This window comes from Homo sapiens, chromosome 8 (assembly GCF_000001405.40).
Source record: "Homo sapiens chromosome 8, GRCh38.p14 Primary Assembly".
NCBI classification, from domain to species: domain Eukaryota; kingdom Metazoa; phylum Chordata; class Mammalia; order Primates; family Hominidae; genus Homo; species Homo sapiens.
In genome coordinates, this window is record NC_000008.11 from 67,950,614 (window position 1) to 67,971,688 (window position 21,075).

Consider the following 21,075-nt stretch of genomic DNA (forward strand, 5'->3'; position numbering starts at 1 on the left):
AGTCATGCTTGCATTTCCCATTCATTTCTGGATGTGTGCTTCCTATGTCTTCCGCTTCTTTTGTTTATTGTTTACTAGGTGCTGTGAGGTCTGCTCTTTAATATGCTTTGCCCTTTGTTCTTCTGCCACAGGGTGTGAAGCCATCTATGTTGTTTGCCCTTTGCTCTTGGCTACCTCTAAATAGTCATTTGTAAAAGAAAGAGGAAAATCACATCTTGCCCATCAGCTTTGTGTACATCATTCGAAAATTTTATCTTTAATATACAAAGAAAGTACAATCCTTCTTTGTGTGGTTACAGAGGGGAATGGTCACACTATGCTCTGGAAAGACATCATCTGGAAAACCAATAGGTAATTATTTTAATGTAAATATAGTGAAAAGCATCTTTATGTTTTAGAGTTTTGCTAATGCTTTCAGTGACTGCAACAAATTAACATACCACTTTCTTGCAACAACTCTATTCACTCTTCAGTTTATTTAAATGCCATTAGTTTTAGACTGAAGTTGATCTGTGGAAAATATATGTGTATAATACCAATTCAAAAAAATATATAAATTGTTTTGTTTGTTAAATGTATTGGAAATATTTAAGGCTTAGTTTCCAAGTGAGAAAAGGCAATAAACTTTAACTTTAAAATCAAGAATGTTCTGTGTGTCTATCTTCAAAAATCTAAGATTATTTCCGTTATCTATCTAGCTTTCTATCTTCTGATGAGCATTCAACAACAGCTTTATCTTTTCAATTAGTGACACCGTCTTAAATCACAGCAGCTCTTAGAAACAAAACTGGCACAAATACCCTCGCCTCTCAATGGATTTACATACTATCTTGATGTTGAAAAAAGTTGTAGACATGGAAAACAGCACAGTACAAGGGTGATGCTTATTTTATCTGGGGTTTATTGCATGGGCAGAGGCTGTCATTTTCCCATAGTGTCTTCATTTATTATGCTAATTGACTTTCCAAGCTCAGACTGGAGGGTGTCTGCCCTGTGAACTATTCTCAGTTGGAGGGTTTTAAAAGCAAACCTGTTTTGTGCCTGAATGAAACAAAAAATCAATGTGTTTCTTTTCAAAGAGGGAGGGTCAATACCGTGGTTGTTTTTGTTCCCATCCAGTTATGTAACCGTGGGGACTTGTTTCTTTGCTTTCAGGATTTGTACGAAACACATTAAAGTTAAACAATAGCGGAGGCTTAGGAGTAACCCTCGAGCTGCGCCTTGGAGTGTGTGTCCCTGGGATTGGGAACCTCCTGTGAGTTCCATATCAAGTGCTGCTGTGTGTGTGTGTGTGTGTGTGTGTGCGTGTGTGTGTGTGTGTGCGCGCGCGCGCGTGTGTGTGATTAGCCAGTACGCAGTACTTCCCCAGGGTTGTGTTTCCTTTTTCCTGAGATTTGGCGAAGGGTAAAGGGTCGGAGTCACATGGATACAAAGCTTTTGATTAATGTCCAAGTCACTGCTGTGGCTGCCGAAGCCGCTTCCCCTCCAGCCCCGGCCGTGTGAGGCCAGAGCAGCGGGGCCGGGCGCGCAGGGCCTGGCCGGAGCCCCCACTCCCAGGAGTTTCCTCTGCAGAGCCCCGCGCCCCCCGCGCCGGGATTTCAGCCCGATCCCCTCCTCTCCCTGCGCCCAGCCTCTCCCCAGCATGTAAAGTCTTCTGTCTCTCCTCGGAGTTGGCGGAGGCGGCAACTTTCCATTCTCGCCGCCGGGGGCCGGGCAGCAGCGGGCGCGCGGGTCAGCGCTCAGCACGGCGGGCAGCGCCGCGCTGCGCACCGCCGCCGACCATGAGCGAGGACAGCCGCGGAGACAGCCGCGCCGAGAGCGCCAAGGACCTGGAGAAGCAGCTTCGCCTGCGCGTGTGCGTGCTCAGCGAGCTCCAGAAGACCGAGCGGGACTATGTGGGCACGCTGGAGTTCCTGGTGTCGGTGAGTGTCCCCGGCAGACGCAGGGGGACGTCCGGGCGGCGCGGGGCGCGGGTCCCGGAGTGGCTGCGGGAAGGACGCGCGGCATTGTCTGTGCGGGGACCCGGGACGGGTCGGGGCATCACAGGCGCGGGAATCCACGTGTGGACTCTGCGTTCGCGGGCGCGGTGACCCCCGCGGGGATTTGTTGGTGCCCCGAGACTCACTGAGTTGCGGGGGCCTTGGAGACCTCCAGGTCTGAAAAGTTAGCTCTAGAGAAGAGAGCTCCAGTCCAGGGAATCCCGGCTGCCCTATCTTCCCTCACTTTTCTTTTACCCGCCTCCCCAGTCTGCTCAAGTGCACTGTGTAATTGATTTTCCTTCTTGTTCTTTCCTGGAGACTTTGTTTTAAAGCTTTGGTTTTGTGATTAAAGGTCCAGTCGGCTACATCCAGGTACACTAAGTTAAAAAAAATCCTTGAATGTGCTCGAGCTTGAGTTCGTTACTCAGATAACATGGCAGTGGCCGCTTTAGTTATGGTCTTTGAGACAGAGGATTCTGGTGTAGGGGTACAGAGAGAGCAGCGGGGTGATGATCTCTAGCAGCTGTTGGATATTAAAGCCACATGTGGCGCTCACCCTGTCCTAGTCTTACAATTCCCTCCCCCCCGCCCCCCGCCCCGGCTTAAATCTGTCTTCTGCTCAGTTTCTGGTCCCCTGTTTACATGGCCCATGAGAGTGCTGTAATCAAGCTTCGGGACTTCGTGGAAGTGGGGATGTACTTATATTCCACGTTTCTGCTTGACTCACTGCCATCTGCTTTGAAAACGTCTCATTCATTTTAGGGCCGAAGGGGCAAAACTGAGTGAAAGTAACTGCTGAGATAACACTCAAAAGTTGAATTTTTCCTATTCATTGCTGAAAAGACAAAGAATTTGAGCCTTGGCTTCTTTCCACCCAGATTCCTGGGAGAGCATCATTCAAAGAACCAGGAGCTTTAGTTTTTGTGATCTCATCCAAATCCTTCTCCTTCCAACAACCAATTCCATGCCCCCTTGGTCTGAAGGAAAATATTTCAGGTGCCAAACTTCCTGCTTAGTGTTCTGAAATCTGTCAACTTTCTGCTTATAATCATGACAGATAAAATTCACTTCTTGGCTGTGGCAAGAAGGAAAGAAAAATGTCTCAAGTGATGTAAAATGTACAGGCTGCGTTATGGTTGACTTCTCAAAATCAATATACTTGACTTCCAGGGGCCACATTCTCTGCAAATATACAGGTATTTGAGAATATCCTGGTAACTGGTGGTTTATAGAATTATTATATACTTCCTTGTAACAAAGATTGTCAAAAAAGTATGTTTTTAAGATTTGATTTTTAATAGCTTTAAATTTGGCTTTCATGAAACTTTTTTGGTAACAAAGTTCTTTGTCTTTTGAAGAATCTGAGTCATTTCTTACATAATTACTCTTTCTGAAGATCTGTGAACAAAGTACTGTGCAGAATGCTAATTTGCAGAGACAGTTAATCTAATTATATTAAAAACCAATTTGTTGATCTTTATTTAAAATATCAGTTTTTCTTCTAATCTTAAACCTGATCATTACAACAGAAAACTTACTGTTAGTATATAGAGTTAGGTAAGAAAGTGTGGAAAGTATAAAATAAATTTTCCCCTTTTATAAGGAGAACATCATTTCATGATTTCTTTTTATCTCTTTCAGAATTTATGGGCTCTTCCACTTTTCATTTTCTTTGTGCATCATTTGTGCCTGTTTATGTTTATATGCACAAATGCACTAATTAGTCTGAATGCCATCCTAAATAAAAGTTTACTCTGGCTTACAAAGCCTAAGATCTATTTATAATAGATTATTAGATTTTCTTTTTAGGGTGTTATTTATAGCAACATTTACTCCCCATGGAGTTTTCTTGGTTACCTGAAGTTGATGTAGTCACTCTGGTTTTGATATTAGACTATGCTAATATGTACCAAGAGCTTTTAATCTATGCAAACCCTTTGGCCTGGTAATTCCTCTTCTAGGAACCTATCCTAAGGGAATGATCAGAGATGGAAACAAGCAATAGAAGTTATTTTTAAAAGTTAGCCATAGTATTAAATAAGTCGAGTGGTAAATTTGTTGCCAAAAATTGATAGTTTACTCCTAAGTCAAATTAAATATTTGTTAGATTAGTCATTAATCATTTCTATTATTGCTTTAAGCCATTAACATGGATGAAGGATGACTAATCTTTATTAGGAAGAGGAAGAAGAGGTAGAAAACATATTTTTAGTTCTACTAAGAACATATTTTTACTTAACTGCCCTATAAATAAGCAAACAAAATGGTATTACTAGCTTTATAAAAAGATCATATGTCCTAGCACTTTTGGGGGCCGAGGCGGGTGGATCACCTGAGGTCAGGAGTTCAAGACAAGCCTGGCCAACATGGTGAAACCCCGTCTCTACTAAAAATACAAAAAATTAGCCGGGCGTGGTGGTGGACACCTTTAATCCCAGTTACTCAGGAGGCTGAGGCAGGAGAATCACTTGAACCTGGGAGGTGGAGGTTGCAGTGAGCCGAGATAATGCCACTGCACTCCAGCCTGCCTGGATGACAGAGCGAGACTCCATCTCAAAAAAAAAAAAAAAAAAAAAAAAGAAATCATATGGCTAGAGGGAAAAGCTTTTCTAAAATCTTTCCTATTTCTGAGCCCTCTCTCTCCTCAATTCCCACACTTTGGCCTTTAAGGAAAGAGCATCTTCCCCCACTGCCATCCCCAAGACAGCCCATGAGCATTGCCTTTCTTCTCTAAGCTAAGGTATGGGTCTATCTGCATCTTCTCTGTAGTTGCCCCCAGGCACACACCGCTGTTTGAACAAAGCTCTGTGTCTTCAGCTGGCTACTCTTTCCATGGTGGGCTGTGCTTCCTCAGGCCTCTGCCTTTGTTCTTCCTGGGGCCTTCCTTTTGTACCTGGTGGATTCCTACTGGGCTTTCAAGGCTCAGTTAGCCCCTTCTTCCCAGGTGCTCCTTGCTTTGTATCCACTCTACCCTGCATTTCCTTCTTCCATAGTACCCAAAGTAGTTGATGTGTGCATTTGTTTACTTTGGTCCTCATTCTGTTAGACCTCCTTGAGGACAGGGACATACCACCTTGTGTGCCTGTGCTTTCCATAATTGTGTGCAGTGCTTGTGACATTGTAGGTCCTCAATAAATGCTTGCTGAGTGCATGCATGAATCAATGAGTTGACCCATCTTCTATCCTCCCACTCCATTTTTAAGGATAGTGCCTCAATCATCCTGAACATTTTGATTTCCTGTTTTCTTCCATTTGGTCAAAATAGATAGTAGAATTTTCAGTTTTGCTCAGGCACATATGAATTTATGCAGTCAAAAATTTCAAATTAAACATGTGGTACCTGCCTTTAAAACAGAAACATGATTTAAATCAGGTATTGAGGTATTAAAGACTTTGCATGCACTATTGTTTCATATATTTTAAATTTTTGTTTGAGATCATGGATAGGTTACACTATCTAGATTAATTATTTTTAGGTCACAGATAAAATGGTAGAGAGTGACATAATTTGCTTGAATTTATGTTCTTGTTTTGCTTGGGAAATGAAATTTTGTGCTTTATTAAAATATTTTCAAACATTTCTTCTAAATAAATGATTACATGAACCTGACATCCAGTATTTAACATCCAAAGTCTGGACAATAGTAAGTTACAACCTGTTTCCTGTTTGCAAACCTGTGACAGAGCCTGCCGAGATGACAGACTCATGTGAGTGGACAGAGAAAAGGAAGACCCAGGGCTGGCTTCATGGATGCACATCCTGTGCAGTGGCCCAGGGTTCTGAGCTGAGAAGGATGCCCAGCTTGTTTTAATGCTCTGCTATTGCCATCTTGAAATTCTTGCCAATTTTATCTTTGACCTTGTGTTTTGCAAATGAAGTCTGATGGGACGGTGGACATGAGCAGAGCAGATACATGAAAGAAAAAAGCTTTATATTTCAGTACCTTTAATAGCATTCCCCCACAGCCCCCTGCTTTTTGAACAAGAAACCTCACATTTTTATTTTGCACTGGGCCTGGAAAATTGTGTAGGCCATTTAACTGTGGGTCAGTGGCAATGAGGCAGGATGACCATATAATTTACTGTCTAAACTGGGACACTTCTGAGGGTGAAAGGGAGTGCTATTAATAATGACACTGGGAAACAGATGGAAACTGGGATTGTTCCTGGCAAACCAGAATGCATGGCTAGTCCACATTGTGGGCATATTAAAACAATGACTTCAAGCTATGTGTCTTGTCATAAACCAAATATTTTCAAGTTTGTTGCCTGTCCAGGCTTTGATCTTGGATACCTTGGTATTTGAGTCCCATCTCTAATTTGCTTTGTGATTTTAAACACATTCCTAACTTTTCATGCCCCTTTTTCTTCATTCGTAGAAGGGAGAACAATAGCATTTCTCAGGGGTATTGTAAGGATGATGAGATATATGCATTGGGCTTGGCCCATCTGGCTCATAAGAGGGTCCTATAAGTAGTTACTGTTATTTTGCTGATGCTACAGTTGTTATAAAGAGCCATGCCTATGATCATCATTAGATAGAATTTTTGTTTCTGTTATATTCCTTTTCTACCCTTTCTGTATGTCCCCACTTCTCTTCGTTTCCTCCTTCTTTGTTTTCCTTTTGTTAGTGTAGTCTTCTTAATGATATTCTTATAAATGCTCATTAGTTGATTTTAAGACAGTGAGAAAACTTTATATTCCAGGTAACAACCACAGTTAGTATGGCGCCTTGGAGTTTAAACAATTGCATCCTCACTCTATTATTCAGCTTAATATATGCATGTCTCTTAGCTCTTTCAAATTGTGCTCCCTGGAGCTCCAGAGGCCCTTGCAAGGGCTGCTGGAGAGCTAGATTTTATGGCTTCAGGATTGTCACCCTGGCTTCTCTGTGCATGGCTCAACCTTTCTCAGATTTGAGCTTTCGTAAAAGCAGTTAGAAAAAACATTTGTCTACATGGCAAATTCCCAGAGAAAAGGGGGTTTGCATTTACTTCCTATGTATGCTTTTCTTGGCCTAAACACAGGGCTTTGTAAATAGCAGGTGCTCAAGAAAACAGACAAACAGGCAAACAAAGCAAAAGCAAACAAAGCAGAATTTGAATGCATCTGAAATCAAACTCTTTAAGTCATGACCTGACTCTTCCAGGCAAAGATGATTGATTCAGCACATTATGCTTAAGGTTTATGTTATGGACTGAATTGTTTCCCTCCTCAGGAGTCATATGTTGAAGTCCTAATCCCCAATACTTAAGAATAGGACTGTATTTGTAGATAGGGCCTTTAAATAGGTGATAGAGTTAAAATGAGGTCATAGGGTAGACCTTAATTCAGTTTGACTAAAGTCCTTCAAAGAAGAGGAGATTTGGACACACAGAGAGATACTGTGGTGTACAGAGGAAAGGCCTTGGGAGGACATGGGGAAAAGGCAGCCCTCTGCAAGCTAAGGAGGGAAGCTTCAGGAGAAACCAAACCTACTGACACCTTGATCTTAGATTTCTAAGCTTTCAGAGTTGTGAGAAAATCAATTTCTGCTTAAGCCATCAATCTGTGGTATTTTATTATGGCAGCCTGTGCAGACAAACGCAGCTTATATTAGGTGCTGGGTCATCACAATACTCTATGGGAGCTGCGACACTAGAGCCATAAGCAAAGTCACGTGGAGGCAGTAGAGATTCTTTCAGTTGGGGAGTCAAGGAAAGTTTTGGAAAGAGGTGATGATAGAGCTGGCTCCTAAAGGAGGAGGAGGAATGTGCTATACTGGGAGAATTATCCATCCCCAAAGTGCTGCATGTGTTATGTGACCTCAGCGTGGCAGATCCTCACATTTAGGGGTCTGAAACAGTCTTGTAATTATACCCTATTATAATACCAATTACTTTAATATAAAAATAGTAGCTATTGCGATTAGATTTGTTTCTTAGCAAGAGAATTCTGTTGACAAGGTTGAGGAACAAAGATTGAAGTCTAGTTACCCATTAAGAGTCTGTCATTGCATTAGTCCAGGTAAGAAATGTGGAAAGTCTGATCTGGGGTAGAAGCATTGGAAAATATAAAAGAACAGTAACAGCAGAAAACCCAAACCAAACCACAAACAAATCAAACGCCCAACTATGAGGGCTTTTTTGGGTAGAAGCTTTAATATTTTGTATACTCTCAGAAGTGGAGGTTTAAGTAGAATGGAGAACATAGGATGGGGCTAAGTCTCTAGTTTTGAAGACTAGATGGGTAGTGTCATTGACTGAGAATTGGAATGCAGGGGACAGAACAGCACTAGGAGGAAAAGGAAAATGAATTTGCTTTTGGACATGTTGAGCTGAGCCACAAATACTACTATGATTTTTGAAGATAAGAATGTGGAACTTGAGAAATAATTTGGGCCAAAAGTGAGAGATCTAAAAATTAACTAATCATGTATTTTGAAACCATCAATTGAGTGAGATGGCATAAGGAGAGCAATTAGAGGAAGAAAATACACAAACAAAAGGTAGGATGTTGGAGAGTCAATGTTTAAAGGATAGAGGAAGAGTAGAGTGTGCAGGTGACTTTGAGCTATCAAAGGCTGAAACAAAGAACTAGGAGAAGTTGATACTTTGAAAGCCAAGGAAGGATCTAGTTTTCAAAGAAAGGTCTCTTTAAAGTGGCAGGACTTGAGGGAAGTGGGGTGTGTGAAGACTGAAGAGGTCGCTGGATCTGGCAGTTAGAATGTCATTGGGGTTTTAGCTTCAGTAGAGCGTGTGAGCAAAAGCCAGACTGTCAGAACCAGTTGAGACACGAGTGGAAGCTGAGGATGTGAAGGATGATGGATAAACTATTCAAGGAGTTTGGTGGTAACTGCGAGGAGAGAAGGGGATGATTTTGTCTAGGGATGGGTAAGGCAGATGAGCCTAGCCAAGGGTAGAGAGACAATAAAAAGGGAACTAAAGCAGTGAAAACAGAAAGTGGCAGAAGGCAAATGGCATCTTTGGGGGAAGCATAGCAAGCACCCCCATGGCACTGGGAGATAAGACAAGGCAAAATTTTCTGAAATTTTCTGAGCCATCTTGCTGTGTAACATACCCATAGTAAAACATAGTAAAACTAAGAATGGGCAAGCTGTCACTTGTGTATTTTACAAATTCTGCTGCTTCTCCAGTGTACAGCTAGTGGAACTGCCTGGGATGGTCTTTGTGGCCCCTTGTGAACACATACCAGAGGCTCTCCCTCCCACACTGGGACAGTGAGGTGAACTGCATGGCACAGAATCTGATGAACTGGTTTAAAATCCTCGCACTGAAACTTACAAACTCTCTCTTTGGGCAAACAACACAGCCTCTGTATGTCTCAGTTTCATATTTGGAAAACACATTTGATAATACCTCACAGGGCTGGCCTGAAATTCAAATCAGCTTCTGTAGGTAAAGTCCTGATAGGTAGGAAGTGTTTCTTCCTTTTCTTTTCTTTTTAATTAATTAATTAATTAATTAATTTATTGATCTCACTCTATCGCCCAGGCTGGAGTGCAGTGGCGCGATCTTGGCTCACTGCAACCTTCCCTCTTCCGGGTTCAAGCGATTCTCCTGCCTCAGCCTCCTGAGTAGCTGGGACTACAGGCACATGCCACAATGCCCAGCTAACTTTTTCTAATTTAGTAGAGACGGGGTTTCACCGTGTTGTCCAGGCTGGTCTCAAACTCCTGAGCTACGGAAGTTCCCCCACCTCAGCCTCCCAAAGTGCTACGATTACAGGCGTGAGCCACGGTGCCCGGCCGGAAGTGGTTTTTTTTTCCCCTCCATAAACTCCAAGCTTATCTCCCTCTCCTCTGTCTTGTCTATCCACAGACTGAGCTTGGCACGTGCTCAGACCAGCTTGAGAGTCACCAGCCTGGTCTGTCAGTCACCCTGTCTTTTCCAAGCCTGGAGGCATAAGGACAAGTTTAATAGAAGAAGGTTCTGAGAACTCCAGCGGGGCCTAGGGAATGCAGGAGAGGGAGTGTTCCGGGAGCCACCAGGGAGGGATGGCTTTCCTCCAGAAGGAACTTATGAGTAAGGACAAGGGCCACTTTAGGGGAGAGGCAAGTATGGAGGTTGCTTGCTATCCGATGGTCGTTCTTCCTCTATGAAGTTGAACTCTGGTTTTCTGTCTGATGTTCTGTTTTGTTTTGCTCTTGTTTTGTTGTTTGTTGTTGCTGAGAGGGCAGTGCCCTGAAGAGAACCGTAATGATTTGGACACACACTTTCAGGAATAGAAAAGGGAATTGAGCTTGGACATCTGAGGGTGGATGTATGATAGGCTTTGTTCAATTATTCTTTTAAATGTGATTTTCTTAAACACAACATACAAATTTAGGAGCTCAAGTAGAGACGTAAGCACTTCTGGTTTATTACATCTAGTATGAATAGGTTCAAATCTCAGAGATAATGACAACCATTTTTTAAACCATGGTGCAAATAGTATAAAACTTCTATTTTACATTTGATGCACATATCAGTCATTAGCCATGTAAAAAAAAGAAAATGATTTATCTGACATTTTAGTGTGATTATAGTTTCCTCAGCACTTGTTTTAAACAGCATTTTCTTAACAATTCTTTTAGTATATACCTGGTATTATATTTTCATACCAAATAAAATTATTATGTCTGTGTTTTCAGCACTATTGGTTTGACCTAAAAATAATTGTTTTAGTTTGCATTATTTCTTTAAACATTTTATTTATATTTACTTTTCATGAGATAGATTTTTTGTTCTTCATTAAAAGTGTTATTAAATTTATTAAAAATTTTCAAATGTGAATTTATTAGAATTATATTATTAGCTATGTTAAAATCAAGATCTTTGATTTAATTATAATTGTAAATTGAAGAATTTACAATTTATTAAAATTATATTAGCTATATTAAAATCATCTTTGATTTATAACATTGTAGTTGCCTCAAACAATCAAAAATTCAGGAAAAGCATCCTGTAGTAAATGTTTCATTGATTAAAAGTGTGGCTGGGTCACTTTTTCCCTGGTATTGAACATAACTATTCACATGATGATACATCTAATAATAACTGCTTAAAAAAATATTCCCCCATTTTCATAAACTATTGCATTTGATCCAAGAGTTCAATGATTGAAATTTTAAGAAAATGATATGTTAATTTGAAGTTATGATTTTTAAGCACTTCTAATTAGTATCGGTGATTTCAGACTTTGATTTATTGAATAAATTTGTTGTATAGCCTTACATATAACGGAGCATAGTGTACAAAAAGGGATCTATTTTGCTCGAGAGTATCTTAGCCAAGGACATTGTGTTTTGTTATTAATGTGAAATGCATATTTTCCATTAAAAGGCAAGCCCTTCATTTGAAAGGTTAAATTGTATAGTACTTAAGAAATGACTCCATCTGATTAAATTTAGAATACTGATATAAAAATATTCTCTGGTCTTACAGTGAAAATATCACAATATAGAATATAGATGGATAAACATTTTTATTCATCTGAAAACTTTGTTTCTCGGAAAGAGTCAAATATGGATTGATATCTATGTTTGATTTTGGCTTGCCACTTTTGTTATTTTAATTATCTATTTAAGTTGCCTTCTTGCCAGTAGGAGAGGCTTTATAGATGGTGACACATTTTCAGAGATTGTGCAAGAAATGCTAATGTTTTCCCTTGGTGCCTTGTAATGCCTCAGCTTGGCCTTGCTTTCATGCTTCCTAGGAGTTCCAGCCTTTTCTTATTTGAGACTGTTGCCCCAAAGAAAGAAATTTTAGGATTCCAGAAATAACATCTCTCATTCCAAAGCCTTATTTCTATCAGTAGCACTAGGAGACCATCTATGGAAAGGCATTATTATATTCTATTAATTGACCTAAATGTTAGTCCCGCACCCACATACTCCAAGATTATTTTAAGAATTCATTATTTTCCCAGAGGTATGTGGATGAAGGGGGCTTTCATTTTCTATACTGTATAACTATGTCAAATTTGGCTTTCTATAATTTTATATATAAATATATTTGTATTTATATATTTTATTTTTTTTTTTATTTTTTTGAGATAGAGTCTTGCTCTGTTGCCCAGGCTAGAGTGCAGTGGCATGATCTCGGCTCACTGCAACCTCTGCCTCCTGGGTTCAAGTGATTCTCATGCCTCTGTCTCCCAAATAGCTGGGATTACAGGCACCTGCCACCACGCCTGGATAATTTTTTGTATTTTTAATGGAGATGGGGTTTCACCACGTTGGCCAGGCTGCTCTCGAACTCCTGACCTCAGGTGATCCACCTGTCTCGGCCTCCCAAAGTGCTGGGATTACAGGTGTGAACTACCATGCCTGGCCAATTTTATATATTTTATATATTTACAAAATGTATTTTGAATATTCTAGACACAACTTTATCTCAAGTTTTCTTGTACCACTTCATAATGAAACCTCTGGCAGAGACTTCTAAGTGTCCCCAGTACCCAATGTTCTTTTCTTCTATAGTGATAAAAGTTTTAGGTCCAGCTTAAGACTACATTTCTCAGCCTCCCATGCAGATAAGTGTGGGCCTATGTAAAGGTTCTGGGTAGTGGGGTGTGAGCAGAAGTGGCCTGGGTAACTTCTGCAGTGTGCCCTTATTGTGAAGAGTGTGCATTCTCTTTTCTCCTTTCCCTCTTCTCCCTGGCTGGTATGAGGATGTGATGGCAGGTGATGGGGCAGCAATTTTAGAACATGAAATGGAAGGTACATGTTCAGGGTGACAGAGCAACAAAATAGAAGGAGACTATATCTTTATTATTTCTTATTAAGACCATGTCTTAAAGCAGGCTAACCTATGTCCTGTCAAAAATGGGCCTATAAGAGAAATCAATATTTATTTAACTCTGTCCTAAAATCATCACATTTTGATACCAAGGCCTCATTGACTTATGCAAATCATTAATGAATTGGCCAACTTTAGTATCTTTTTTCTGTCTTTGTCTAATATTTTTAGTTTATTTTTTGTTTTTTCTTTAATAAATCTCTAGTTCAGCCATAATTTCCCCAGATTACGCTAAAACTGCACTTTTTTGTTTTCAATAATTATACTTTAGTTTTTCCTTTAGAAAAAGAATAGTATTTTTTTTTTACCTGTACTTAACATATTCTTTTTTTCCTGAAGGCCAGAATTTTGTGTTTATTCGTAAGGATATTTGTTCAGCTGCCTTAACTGAGACCAAATAACAATAGTTTGAACAATGCAGAAGGATTGTTTGTGGCTAGGAAAGCCATATGTAATCAACATGGCCTTTTTTGCATTCTCTCTTAGAACTCTGGTTATTTAATTTTTAAATTAAATATACCCCAGTGGTGTTCCAGTGGGGTTAGCCGCTCAGCCACATCAGGTTATTCAGAGACTCCTGCTTCTTTTATCTTATTGCTCTACCAGCCCCTAGGACCAATGAAATCTGAGTATGTGGGGGTGAGAGCCAGGCCTCAGTATTTATGTAGATTCTCTAGGTGTTTCCAATGGGTTAGAGAAGGTGGGGGAACCAGTATAGTAGGGTGTTGTCCTTTTCCCTATGGTTGAAGCTGACTTACCACTACACTTTTCACATTCCAGCCCTAGGGGGACAGAGGGTGGGAGACAAAGTGGAGGGCAAGCACTCCCTTTAAGGATATGACCCAGAAATGACACACATCACTTTCACTCTCATCCCCACGACCAGATCTTTGTAACATGGCTAATCCAGCTCTAAGGGAGACTGGGAAATACGCTGACTGGCTGGACAGCCATGTGCCCAGCTGAAACTTAGGGAGTTCTACACTGAAATAATGACATGGGAATAAATATTGAGGGGCAAAGGGTCATCTCTGCCACATTTTGAATCCATTGATACTTTAGTCTCCTGTCCTCAGAAAATCATTTATATTAATTATTGGATTCCTTTACTGTAAGAACCTATTGTATTTAAAATATAATTTGGATTATTTCCCTCTAAAATAATATATTCTTTCCCACATAGCAATCCATCTAACATTTATCTCTCTCTTCAGATATATTTGTAAGAGCTCCAGAGCTCTCAAGGTTGTTTTTGTTTTTTTTTCCATTGGCTTTCACTACAGAAAGGCTTTGGGGTATTTGGTGATTTTATGTAATTTTAAAATTTTGTGGAAGTTTCCAGAAAAAAAATTCCAAGATAATATGGAAATTCTGTTTTTGTTATGTGTTTCTTATGTGTTAGGCACTGCATATTCATTAACTCACGACTTAGAACTATCTTCAAGCCTCGGATCATTGTAAACTCACACCTGGGGACATTTTGGTCAGTTCCTATTTGGGAGAGTGGGGATTCTGAAAAGATCCACTGCAAAAGTTATATAGCTCTTCCAAGATGTTCTGCTGATGAATCACAGCCCGGACTCTTCTGGATTGTGGGAATGGTGTGATTAATCAGGACTAGGAAAACCAAGGCAGTTGCTGGAGTAGGGACGCAGAACTTGTTGACTCCGGAAGTACACAGAAGCTAGAAATCAGGAAGGAACAGTAGTTCATTTCAGGCAAACCATCAAGCGCAAGAGAGCAACAGGAGCTTATGGTCAATCCAAGACAGGGTTAGAGCCAGGCAAGCACTCAGGAGCCAAAGATTACCCAGAAGTCAGGAGTTTCCCTCACAGAAATAAGGAAACACATGAAACTTTCAGAAATAGAAAACCTTAGTTCTCCCATTGGCATATCTGTTAATATATGTTGGTACTGATGCTATTTTCAGCTTAATTTAAGTCCTCTGGGATCATTTTGGATCTCTGTGTATTTACAGTGCTTCCTAACAGGTTTGAACCCTTGGCTTTGTGTTTAAATATAGCTCGTGTTTATCCTATATATGATCAAATCACAAGACATTTGAGGCAAAGATATAAAATTAGTTTGTATAATTAACATATGTAATTATTATGAGTGTATATGTATATATATATGTGTGTGTATATATATATATGTGTATATGTATATATATACACACACACTGTCCAAAATGTGTGTATGTCTGCATTCAGTGGATGTTCTATTGATTGCTTAGGTGAAAAGCATTAATGTAGTTTAAACATATATTAAATGAATCCATTGTTAAAAATGATCACTATTCTTGAGAGTGTTCTGTTTGCCAGACCTACTTTGTTTGACAGGATAGAGGAGGGAGAGTAAACGGCCTTCTGGTAGTCATAGAATGAAGTTTGGTAAATGGGTCATGTTACATAGCTAGAGACATTTTCCTCAGTTTCTAGCAAGGACAATTAGCACAACCATATGATTTTTAGGGTCCAAAAAGGAATCATGTTATTCATGGAAGAGCATAGCTTTCAATTAAAATAGGAGAAGTTGATGTTTCTCCTGTATAATTTTTAGTGCGCTAATAATTCTCACATGTAAGTTGGGTCTTCTCTGTATCATTAAATGTTTTGAGGGTAGCAAATATTCTTTGTGATTTAAGATTTTTAAAAAATTTCTACTTATGGTTTACTTCATTATGAGGAACATGATAAGTTGGATTGTCAGAAAATTTGAGAGCTTAGTACTTGACTGGATCTTCAATTTTAAATATATGTATTTCTATAGATGAGGATTTGGGTCAGATTCACCTTTGATGATGTTGTGAAAATATAAGCAAACCGTAATGAGAGATCTAGGTAGTCAGCTAGGATATTTGAATAAATTTTTTAAAAAGAAAATGTCTGCTAACATTTAAAGAAAATAAATTGCCTATAGTTTTACTATGTTGTACTATATATCCTTCCTACAAATTATTTCTTTTCCAGTATGTCACAATTCAAAGTTCCAACTCCTCTATGATATTCTGTAATTTCCCTTAGTACTGAATATGTGTTAAGTAAAATCTACAGGTTTTTTTTTTTCCAAATAATACAGAACTAAAAAATCTGTAAAAGAGAAAAAAGGAATTACCATAAAATGCATCAATCTGGGCAGAGCTTGGAAGGCTGAAGTGGGAGCATCTTTTAAGCTCAGGAGTTCAAATCTAGCCTGGGCAACATGGTGAGACCTCTGTCTCTAAAAAACAAACAAACAACAAAAAACAACAACAACAACAAAAAGAAAATGCAACCAGAGCTATTTATAAATTAATGTGCAAAACCAACTTTATTAAGTGAAAAAACTTATTTTCAGCAATGAATCAGGCAACCTAAAAAATAACCCCTAATATGCTAAGCATTGTGATTGATTCTCTCCAATGATTGCTTTCAAAATCCAGATATTTTTATTCTTCATGGTCCAAGGCATATTTCTTGAGCACCTACTGTCTGCCAATCACTATTCAAGGTTCAGAGGATATAGCACTGACAAGCATTACAAATTCCTGCTTTCATGGAGCTCTGACTCTAACCTAGGAGCTACAAGATAAATGAGTAAAATATATGATGTATTAGCTAGTCTAAGTGCCTGGGAGAATAAGTGAAGCAGAGAAGAGGAATAAGTGTGCATGTGTTTTGACATTTTATGTAAGATGAAAAAGCAGGCATTCACTCTTTTCTGTCACTCTTCTTTTTTGTAAATCTCTAAAAATATTTGAAAGAATTTTTATTTTTTACTGTTAACCTTAACAGGCAATATCCAGGAGGAAAGTGCCAATTGATTTCTTGTTTAAATCTTCAGTGTAGTGATAATTCAGAGGTGAGATTAAACCCAGATGTACATTGCTAATAAATAAAGTTAATAGAACAGATTAGAAAAAGCATGGTGACACTAAGACTTAAGGCTTTAACTAGTGTCATTCTTTAGTTGTCATTTTTCAGTCTATTGACTTTAATATAATAGGCATATATTTTTTAAAGGTGCAATCTTTAAAATCCACTGCCTCACTCTGTTCTGTGTTTATACCATTGAGGAGCTTATTTTGTGGAGTGTTTTGTCAATAAGGTTTCATGCCCAGCAGCTCCATGTCTAGTGGAACTGCAGCCAACATTCAAATTCATCATGGATGGGAACCCAGCACGCTGTGCAGTTGGGGCACCATAGGCTGAAAAGCTTCTGCTGGAAATGAAGTATCCTTTAGCAGCGAGGGGATGGAAGCATTGAACAAGTGGGGCAGGGGTGGGAATTGGAGATCTTGAATGTGCAGCAGGCTCTAAAAGCCATTTTATGACCATTGCCTTAGATAATCCCAGACGTGAGTTAAAAGCTAAGGTATGAGGTGCTTTCATACATTTTTCTTATTTAAGGCCTTTCCCTGAAAGGGGATGGGAAGGATCAAGAGTACCTTGCATTCTGAGCAAACTGTTGCAAGGACAGAAAACCAAACACCACATGTTCTCACTCATAGGTGGGAATTGAACAATGAGAACACTTGGACACAGGGTGGGGAACATCACACACCTGAGCCTGTCGTGGGGTTGGGGGAGGGATAGCATTAGGAGATATACCTAATGTAAATGACGAGTTAATGGATGCAGCACACCAACACGGCACAGGTATGCATATGTAACAAACCTGCATGTTGTGCACATGTACCCTAGAACTTAAAGTATAAAAAAAAAAAAAAGAGTACCTTGCAAACCCTCCCCGGCTTTCTTCCTGTGGTATTGTCTCTCTGATTGCCCTATAGAAATGACTCCCTTGAGGCTTGTGGACAGCTGGAAGAGGCCCCTATGTGGCCTGTAAAGTGCTATTGGAAGCATCTGCCAGCGACTGGGGAGGGGAAAGGTCACTTGAGGACTGTGGAAAATATTCCCTTTCTCCTTAGCATCCTGGAACGTCGGCTCTTGACTAAATTGTTAATAGAATCTGGGAGCTCGGATTCTGGTGCTGACATTTTTTTCAGGGTTAGTTCTAGAAATGATATTTCTTAAGCAGCCTTTTGCGGAGCTTCATTCTTTGGTTCACTGAATTCGCAGCACAAAGAAAAGGAAATAGCTTTATTACCATCATCATTACCAACTTCAGAATAGGAATGGGTGAATAATTATATTGGGCTTTTAAAAAGTATAACCAAAGGGAAGGAATTTAGCTGTCTGTATTTTTTTGATAAGGTTATGTGCTTTCTTCTTCCTGTTTCTCTTTAAGGAGACCTTTCTGTGGCTCATACATCATAAAAGTTAAAAGGAAGTGCAAACACAATTACCACAGAAAGTTGAAATCTTTCGCATCCACTTCTCTTTTGTGCTATTTGTGACCTGTCTGCCTGATTGTTTCAAAGTAAGGAAAATCCTGGGTTTCTTATCTATGCTTTTCAGGGGAACTGGTTTTGACTGTGGTTTGAATCTGACAAAATGGAGACAATCAGCCTTAACCTAATAGCCGTTGTACCAAACTAACCCACAAGAATGCAAAGGATACGGGTGAACTTTAAAGGCAAGACTTGCCTAAGGAAATAATGCAAGATACAGTGCCTAGGAAGGAAATCAGATATGTAAAACTCCTTGAACTCTGTAACAGAATTTTCAATCCATCAGTAGCTCTTACTTGGAGGCTTTGAGATTTTCTGCCGCACTCTGCTCAGCGTCTTAATGCTCATGCCAGTCATCAGGTTGTCGTGTGGCTGGGGTCACCATGCCAGAGCCTGACCTGGAGGCCCTGAGTGCTGACAGTGCTCATTTATCAAGAGCACAGTGTTTGGTTGGGGTTATCACTGGGGAGTGAGGCCGCGTTTAGAGTTTGGTCTAAGACAATGTCTGAATGTGGCAGGGGGTCATAAAGGAACCGGGGACAAGGGTTAACCCAGCTCAGTTCTCTCTCTGTGGTCTATGAATGCCACAGCCAAAGCAGCAGCTTCAGAGATCTCTGCTACCTTTTAGAGAAATGTCGTTGCTGTTGCTGAGCCCACTCTCAGGTATTCTGGTCTCATCACCCCCTGTATCTTTTCTCATGCAGGAGCCTCTGGCACTGACTGTGTAGCTTTGAGTGTGGCCTTTAGGCTTGTGATGACTCTGAGGGATGGACCATCCCATAATAATAAGGATTAGGACCAAAATTATAACCCAAGGAGAGGTAGATTTTGATTGCTTTTAAACTTACTTCCTGAGATGATTAGAGTAACATTTGAGACAGTTGGTTTGTAGTTACTCCCTCAAGTCCATTTTCCACCTAGGAAGGTTTATTAATGTTTTATGATTATTGTATAATTTAGAAGAATATTTACCAGCTGCTGGGACCTTCCTCATACATCAAGTCTGGTCTCTTCTGGAGATGGAACCCTCAGGAAAAACTTGAAATTCTTCCTGACAGCTTGTTCGAAGGTTGCCATTTATTTTGGTGAGTGGGTTCATTTTGCTACCGCTGTGTAAAAATGGGAAGTCTCTTCCTTCAGCTCACATACATTCCCAGGTGAGCACAGGTGAAATGTGTTGCTACAAACAAAAGGAAGAGAGTTAGAGAATCTTATGCCCATCATCTGAGTCTCACTCCGGTCTGAAAATTTCTATAATTTCTAAAATTTCTATAGCTCAATTTGCTCTAATTCCTAGTACCTTCCATATTTTTTCCTCTTGGTTGTTTATGCTGTAGTTATAATCTGCTTAGAGATTCCGTAAGTATGGGAAATAGTAAGAGGGAAATCAGCTATCTCCATTTTGGGAAGTCAAAGTGTGAAGTTGTTTTGTTTATTGACCTGATGGTGTATATTTGTGTAACAGTTGTTGAAGGTGAGTTAATCTCGATCTGTTAATCTAAACAGATCGAAATCTATTCCTTGGAGTCATAGCCTCTAAATTTCATGTAAAGCAGTGTAAAGTTCAGATACAGTTTAATCATCAAACTACCGCCCCACACTAAAAAATATAATAAATAAAAAGGCCCAAACCACCAAACCTAAAATGAGAACTATTCCTATTCATATGAAGAAATAGTGTAATGACCATCAGCCTTTCAACAACATGGTATTAATTATGCCAGCAAAAATAACCATACCCCTAATCTATTTTTATGGTCCTATGTCTCTGATGGAACTAATTTTCAAATAAAGCCTAATCACTTACTTGGCAGTTCTCAGCTCCAACAACCTCCTACAGAGATTCTGTTGGGCTGCTAGTTTGGGAAAATATACCAAACATAACTTGGAGTTAGAGTTCTCACACTAATAGCTACAGACTCATGTTTTCTTGATCAAGAGGTAATCCTCTTTCAACTTCAGAGTAAGAAATATGAAATAAATCAGGAGAAAATCATTTTCCTCTTCTGTGATTGTGAAACAACTGATTATCATACAGGAGCCTATTCCAAGTGCATGTCAGGAGGCTTGAGGGTCAGGACAGAGACTGGGGATGCAGGGCTCACTTCATCCACCTGCTAACATAGCAGCAGAAAGGTGCTATGTGCAGCTGTTTTGCAATTATTATTCTTATATTTATTTACCCAATGCAAACAGATTCCCTTTCATCTGTCGTTCTAGTAACAAAGAGTAAATGCCTGAGGCTTTTGGCTAGATTTTACTTTTCACAGGAACTGTTGAAAAGGTTGTCCCATTTCATGGTGTTGCTTTTGTGGAACAGTGATTAAAGTGGTCCCATTGAAGAGTAGGTGCAGGGGTGTAGAGTGGTATAGGGGGTGATAAAGGTAGCTTGGGGCCAGATGGTGAATAACAGTAGAGGTAGTTTAGGACTAATTAGTAGACAGTGTGGGAGCTAGGGGAGATTTTTGAGCAAGGAAGTCAAAACAATGGGCCTTGGTTCAGAAAGCGTCGTCTGGGAGGCCGGCTTCTAGCCAGAGTGCAGGAATGGCTCTGTTGGGCACAGGTGAGACCTGAGAGAGATCAATTCATTAAGCTCAACAAAAGTCAGAAAGACTAAATCGGTGAGGAATATTGCTGATGCTTGGACCTCGGTCCAGACCAGCTTAATTAGAATCTCAGGGTGCGGGGAGAGAGGGTGGAAGTCAAGAATTGCTATTTTTAAAAAGCTCCCCAGGTGATTCTAATGTGGGAGTAGGGTTCAGAAATACAAGGAAATGAATACATGACATTAATATATATATTAATCAAGGATTGAGATACATGCTTTCCAAACTGCCCCTAAAAAATAGGTAATATCATAATAGAATGAATGATGAGAAGAGATGCACTGACAAAATCCACTTATAAAACTAAGAAGTAACTCAACATCGAAGAGGAAACTAAAAAGAAATGAAATTAGCTAGGAGGCTGCATTTATTGG

At 39.8% G+C, this 21,075-nt stretch overlaps 1 protein-coding gene across 3 annotated transcripts in view, besides 2 other annotated features; it reads left to right on the forward strand.

Annotated features, from left to right (window-relative positions):
* The window catches only part of PREX2 (phosphatidylinositol-3,4,5-trisphosphate dependent Rac exchange factor 2), a 284,987-nt gene continuing 265,344 nt past the window's right edge, over positions 1,433-21,075 (forward strand). For all 3 annotated transcript variants that reach the window (NM_024870.4, XM_047422268.1, NM_025170.6), the window contains exon 1: positions 1,433-1,922. In NM_024870.4, the coding sequence (NP_079146.2) occupies positions 1,782-1,922 (141 nt within the window). In that variant the 5' untranslated portion in view covers positions 1,433-1,781. The remainder of the gene's footprint in view (positions 1,923-21,075) is intronic.
* Positions 4,545-5,215: an enhancer, noted in NCBI's record as "OCT4-NANOG hESC enhancer chr8:68867393-68868063 (GRCh37/hg19 assembly coordinates)". NCBI's record gives its function as "activates a minimal SCP1, AML or CMV promoter by ChIP-STARR-seq in primed H9 embryonic stem cells {active_cell/tissue: H9 hESC(primed)}" and the evidence as "EXISTENCE:reporter gene assay evidence [ECO:0000049][PMID:30033119]".
* Positions 20,118-20,619: an enhancer, noted in NCBI's record as "NANOG hESC enhancer chr8:68882966-68883467 (GRCh37/hg19 assembly coordinates)". NCBI's record gives its function as "activates a minimal SCP1, AML or CMV promoter by ChIP-STARR-seq in naive H9 embryonic stem cells {active_cell/tissue: H9 hESC(naive)}" and the evidence as "EXISTENCE:reporter gene assay evidence [ECO:0000049][PMID:30033119]".